Source organism: Homo sapiens, chromosome 1 (genome assembly GCF_000001405.40).
Source record: "Homo sapiens chromosome 1, GRCh38.p14 Primary Assembly".
In the NCBI taxonomy this organism is placed as follows: Eukaryota; Metazoa; Chordata; class Mammalia; order Primates; family Hominidae; genus Homo; species Homo sapiens.
In genome coordinates, this window is record NC_000001.11 from 189,844,609 (window position 1) to 189,851,415 (window position 6,807).

Here is a 6,807-nt window from a genome sequence, read left to right on the forward strand (position 1 = left end):
AAGCGATTTTATCTAGTGGTAAGTTTTGACTCCTCCCTTTTTATTTTTTGCATACCTATTATGAGTTTTTGCTTCGTGGTTACAATGAAGCTTTAAAAATACATCATATAGTCGTAACATGTTAGTTTAAGCTGTTATCAATTTATCTTTATTCACAAATAAACTTTTACACTTTCATTCCACTCTCCCCACTCCTCAAATTTTGATGTTTTATGTCACCATTAATATTTTTATATTGCCTACAGATTTTATTATCAGTAAAACCTGCAACCAAATCCCGGTTATTCCATTTTATAGTTGCATGGTCTTGTGCATGGCATTTAATTTATCTGAGCATCATTTCCTCAAATGTACAAAAATATCTACATCATACCATTGTTCTGTGGATTTAATAGCATGTAAGTTACTTAATAGAGCACATCAATTTGGTTAATCCTGCCAATGGTTTTGGTCTCTACTCTTATAAAATCTCTGAGATAATTATTCCCAGATTATCTAACCCCTTGTTCTACTTTATTTTATTACACAGTTTATAATATTATTTAAGTTAGTTATTTCTGTTTGTTTTCATTTATTAGCTGTCTCTTCCATCAGATTGTAGACTTCATGATAGCTGGTTATTTGTTTAAATTATTCACTAACATAATCCCACTTCCTGAAACAAAGTCTAGTAAGTACAAATTTGTTTAATGAAGGAAATATTTGCTAAACTCGTGGGAGCTACTATATTTCAGTGAAATGATATAGCACATAATTTTATTCTAGATCTTTGAATATATGGTGACATGACAAGCAATATTTGTAAATTAATTTCTAATAATGTCTATTTAATTTCTTACAGTAAATATGAAGAGACTGTCTCCTAATAAAAATAAAAAGAGAAATAAAACAATGAAAGCAGTAATGGATTGGAAAATTAAGTCAGTATAATATTCATTATTTCAAAGCTGTGAGAAGTGAATAAAACTCTCTAAAATTGCTCTCTTTGCCTGTCTTTCAGCCTAAGGAAGATAACTTTGGATTGTGGTGTTATGCAAAATTTTTGACTATTTGTGTAGCGTTCTGAACTCTATACATTTACAACATGAAAAATGTAGAACTGCTTTAAATTGGATTGAAGATCATTTTGTTTTAAAGTATAGTGTATTTAAAATAATATTTTTATTTATAGTAAACTATTAAATTATCTAAAATCAAAAATTAAAAATCATCTGGTTAATACATTTTAAGGGATTAGCTAGACTTCTATGACTCTTTGCTCACAGGATGAAATCAAATATATATAAATACAAAGAAAGAATACTTGGCATTAAGAAATGAGTAAGCATTTAAAAATGGGATTAAAAAGCATAGACATGGAGAAAAATAAAAATTAAGGTAGAGAAATGTAAGGTAGATACGGGCACTGAGAAGTAAGTATTATCTATAATTGTGTGAAAGACTATTTACCCTGATTTGAAATGGGAAAATCCACCCTAAAATGTCCTGAAAGTTTCTCAGTAACTGGGCTCCGTATCTTAAATGGCTTCAAAAAGTCGATGAGAGCATAACTGAAGACACGGCAAATAATAAAAGACTGTAATAAATTAGTGGAGCAAGGTTTTCTTCAAAATTACAAAGTCAATCATGTGAAAATATTATCCCAAAGTATTTGTTATTGGTTGCTATTATGGCATCCAGTATTTCATTGCTTTCAGACTTCTTTATTTTTTCTGAATCTGATCTTCAAACACTATCTTCTTCAAGTTCAGTGTGGCTACCTAAAAATGTTCCCATCTTGCTCTGAGAAGTAAGGCTCTAGGGAAAAATTCACTGGAATGTCAGCCACAGTATGCAAAAGTGGATGAAGAAATACAGAATGAAGAAAAGGACATGAAATTAGTCTCTAGAAATGTATGAATTAAATTGGATTAATCACAATATATACTATATAAAAAAGTATGCAGTACATAAATACACAGATACAAAATATAGGCATCATTTTTGAAGTTATGTTATAATATATTGAGGCTATTTTATTAGAAAACGAACTTTATGCTAACTGTATAAAGGAAAAAAGAATAATTGCAGAAGAAATAATTTATAATTTGCTTTTCCTTGGTTTTATTTAAAAATTAAATTAATTAAATTATAAGTATATTGTTTCCATATAATTTATAATAAATAAGGCATATAGGCCAGGCACGGTGGCTCATGCCTGTAATCCCAGCACTTTGGGAGGCAGAGGTGGGTGAACGCCTGAGGTCAGGCGTTCAAGACCAGCCTGGCCAACATGGTGAAACCTCGTCTCTACAAAAAATACAAAAATCAGCTGGGCATGGTGTCAGATGCCTGTAATCCCAGGTACTTGGGAGGCTGAGGCAGGAGAATCTCTTGAACCCAGGAGGCAGAGGTTGCAGTGAGCCGAGATCATGCCATTGCACTCCTGCCTGGGGGACAAGAGCGAGACTTCGTCTCAAAAACAAAACAAAACAAAACAAAAACAAAAAAAAACACAAAGAAACAAAAAACCATTTAAAGCAACAAATTACTCATTTCTTAGCTATATTCTGTTTAATTAAAAAATAGGGTATCCTCTATGTAAAGAAAAATATAATGTTATTGAGCCATTTTCTTCAGAAGAACAAGCTACTCTACCTATGTAGAGTGATAATGTATCCTCAGGATTGAAGATCAAAAGAGGTAATATATACAAACATTCTTTGAAAGGTGCCTTATAAAACAAAAAATTGTTTTATCATAAAAATTTAAGGTAGTGCAGAGAGCTAACATGAAAAATGTAAACATTGGCAATAAGAACAAAGATATACTATGTTTGAAAAATGGTTGAAGTCCCTTTCGAATATCTATGTCAACATTCATTTTATGTAGACATAAACAGGTGTCAAAATTATTTCTGTTCTGCCAACATTATTTTTCTGGAAATAATTATTAGGAAGCACTAAACTGTATTTACACTAACCATCTGTTTATACAGTTGCCTTACAAAGACAGTATTAGAATAAAAAAAGCCTCAGGCACTTCTATTATAATAATGAATGTCTCATGAGATGGGATGATGTGCAGGTTACAACATTCTGATAGTAATTTCTAATGCATTACAGTAGAGCATGGACTCTTGAGAATCAGATGAAATTTTCTTCCATCTAGATTACATTTTCTCACTGTCCCAATGTGCTTGATATGAACTGACACCACCATAAATACTTTTATCTGAATGGCAGCACTGTCATAGTTAGACAGAGAAATATATAGCGTTGAGTGAAAAATAATTTTAGATACTTTCCAAGTGCTTTTTGCTGTTGTAACAGTAATTCCTGCAAAGTACATACTAAACCATGTAAAATTACAATCCTGACTATTGAGTTAGTGAATTATGTATACTTTGAGGAAAGCGGAAAATGTGTATTCAGATAGTATGTAAGATAGCTGCGCTTTCTGGAGGCTTATAGATCTACATATTGCCTATGTAATCACTCGAGGAAGGAAACCAAGTGCTCTTGCCCTTCTAATGAATTTTGAATGCATCAGTAATCACTGTATTATGTATCTCCAATTAACTAGAGAAACAGGCTCACAATATTCTAAATTTGTACACTAAGGAAGTACATAACACTGTGTTGTTAATTGAGAAAATACTCATTCCAACAAGGTTAACAACCCTAAAGGAGTTAAAATTTATCAAGTGCTTGAACAATGCATAGCACTTATTAAGTGCTAAACAATTTGTTGACAATTAAATATTCACTGTTTGAATTTTGTAAATTGCATTTTCTTCATAAAACACTGCATAAATTTGTCTCATATTTTAAATTATGACTTTCCTTTTTTTCTTCAATGAGTCTAAATAACATTGGTGGTGTTAGATATGATTGAACTCTATTATTGATTGAATTCACTAAGCAAATTATCCAGCTTTTTTAAATAGTCAGATGATATTTTGAAGACTTTGCCATGTTGTATGATTACTCTAATTGCTTAAATATTTTAGTAACATAAAAACAAGTTGTAGCAGTAGTGATGAATTGTATATCCAACAAGATTTCAATGCAACTTTATGTAACTTTATGTCACATCCTTGACCACTATGCTTGCTGTATTTCTAAACAATTTAACTTGCTATTATTTAAAGCCTGATTAAAATATAAACTCTTGATAAAGTGTTCCCAAACTCTGTGCTAAATTTCTTAACCCAGTGCCAAATGTAAAGGCAGAAGAGACATTTTAAAAAACTTTTACTTTTTCTCATCAACTGTCTCTTCAATTATTTCTATCAATTTCCTAGGTACCATTGCTCAAGAAATTCAAGAACAATTATAAAGAAATTGAGAAAATAGATTCCAAATTTATATAAAAATTTAAAGTTCCAATAATGTCAAAAAATCTTGATGAAAGAATAATTTTGGACTTAAATTACTATCTTGAGATGTATTACATATATTCAGTAAAAGATTAACCTTGCCCAAAGAAAGGTTTGTTGTTTTGCACTGATGTTCTGAGGGGTAATTTGAACTTATTGGAATGTACTGCCTGATAAGAGTGTCTTCATTTGCTGTAGGACCCTGTGCTATGCCACTGTACCTATGCTAACAATGTAGTTTATGTTGGGGACTTCGGACCGTATGGTGTCATCTCAATCTCTGGATGGTCTGGAGACGAAATTCAGCCATATGGGTGGTCAGCAGTGTCTACATGATAAAAAGTCTGGATACCAGTCCTTGTATGAATTTTCCTGGTTAGCAATGCTCCATGTGTATTGCCACACATTGTTGCTAGGAGGAATATGTTCACACAACTCCTTTAAGAGATGACAACAGGAAGCTTCATGCTTGTTCTTTCCTGCACCATGCTCAATAAGCCTTTTTCTATTGCTTCTTTTAATCTGTATCCTTTCATTAACATGAAATGAAACCATGAGTATAACAACTTTGTTAAGATCTGTGAGCCTTTCTACAGATTTATTTAACCTAGAGGAGAGGTTTTAGAGACCTTCCTGACTGTATTTATACAACTATGATTTTAAATTTATTTTGAACACACAGAAAAAAACCAAAGGAAGAGAATGCACTATGTGATGCAATGTTGTTGCCAACAGCCACACAGCCATATGTTGCTATTTAAATTACATATAAATAAATTAAAATGAAATAAAATTAACTCTTCAGTTCCTCACATGCATTATATAAATATCCAGTGCTCAACAGCTATAAGGCTTTTGGCTATTATATAGAATTGCACAGATATAAAACATACCCATCATGAAAGAAACATATTGAACAGCACTTCAGTGAAAGTCCAACAAAAGAAAGGACAGGTTGATAAATGTTGTGAAAGATAAATGTTTCAGATGAATTGTGCATTAACATTTGAGAGGTAAAAGTACAACACATCTAGAAAAGCATATGTGAAACAAATTAAAGGTTTACACACACATTTGGCAAAAAAAATACACATAAATATAACTACAATAGTGGTATATGTTGTGAAACAGAAGTTTGCTCTGAAAGTATATAATAAAAATGCCTAGTGATGCTCAGGTTAATGCTAATTGTGAAAAAAAGAAAAACTTCCCTGAATTTCCCCGTGTTCTTGTAAAAACCCCAGCTTCCTAGAACCATCTTCGTATACCAGGAAATATGTAGACATTTGTCTAGTTCACTGCTGTGACCTCGAAGGCCAGTAAAATGTCTCTTATTACTTGGAGGTGCCCAAACAGTTACAGCACTGGACTAGGTCCCTAGTAAAGTATCAAAGGCTCCTGGAAAGATTGAAGCTTTATCTTTCTAGGTATTAGCATATCAATGAGGAATAAGACCCAACCACTTGGAGATAAATTTAGGTCTTAAAAGCTGAGACATGCAGAGCTATCAGACTCCTGCAAAGATATTTTCACATCTTAAAGAGCTAGAAAATAAAAGTGGGACTATTGCATGGAGGAGACACTTTGAGGTAGTGAGAGAAATAGCTACCTCCTTCTACTCTATAAGTACAGGAAAATCATCCTCTAAACCTCTTATTTTTGGACTTACAACCACTCAGGCAGGAAAATTCCCACCACTGGCTCTCATGGTGTCACGCTAAGTGTAATGACTAGAGCAATGAGGGCATGGAGATAGATACACATGTTATTTATTGTAAAGTTTAAAAAAATCTTTCTAATTCCACAGAGATTTTATTTGCACTCCTGATAAAATAAGTAGAGATGCATATTCAAAACCCAGCACTAACACATGTACTATATCTAAAATTTTTGAATGCTTTTATATCTTTTACATGACAGTAAGTGCTTATCCTCCAATTTACAAATGAGAAAATAAAGACAGAGAGAAGTTAAATATCCTGTCTAACTACAATGACCTATCTCATAAGTGGTAGAGCTATGCTTTAATAAAAGAATTTGATTCCAAAGTCCATGTGATTAAAATCTGTGATATAAAATGAGGAGACCTTCTTAAGGAGCTTTCAGTTAAGATGCTACTTGAAAGCTTTAGGCAGGTGTAGGTGGGGTGATGATTGTCCAAACAGAGAGAAAATAACTTAAAAAAAAAGATTTGGCATATTAAAAGGAGAGAGAAAATGCCGAACCAAAGAAGAAAACTCATAATTAGTATAGATCTACTGACAAGACAGCATTACAGTTTTTATTTTGTAGACTCCTACTAAGGGTAACGTACACACATTATTGCTTCAACATTGTATAGATATTCCTGAATAATCTCATACTTCACTAAATTGCAAGCCAAAATATCAAGGCTTACAAATAAAGATAAAGCCAGAAGCAGATTACTTCAAATATAGATTCCTAAA

General features: G+C 32.2%; 1 annotated feature.

Moving 5' to 3' along the window:
* Window positions 4,658–4,858: a silencer, noted in NCBI's record as "peak550 fragment used in MPRA reporter construct". NCBI's record gives its function as "represses an SCP1 promoter by STARR-seq MPRAs in K562 erythroleukemia cells {active_cell/tissue: K562}" and the evidence as "EXISTENCE:reporter gene assay evidence [ECO:0000049][PMID:32103011]".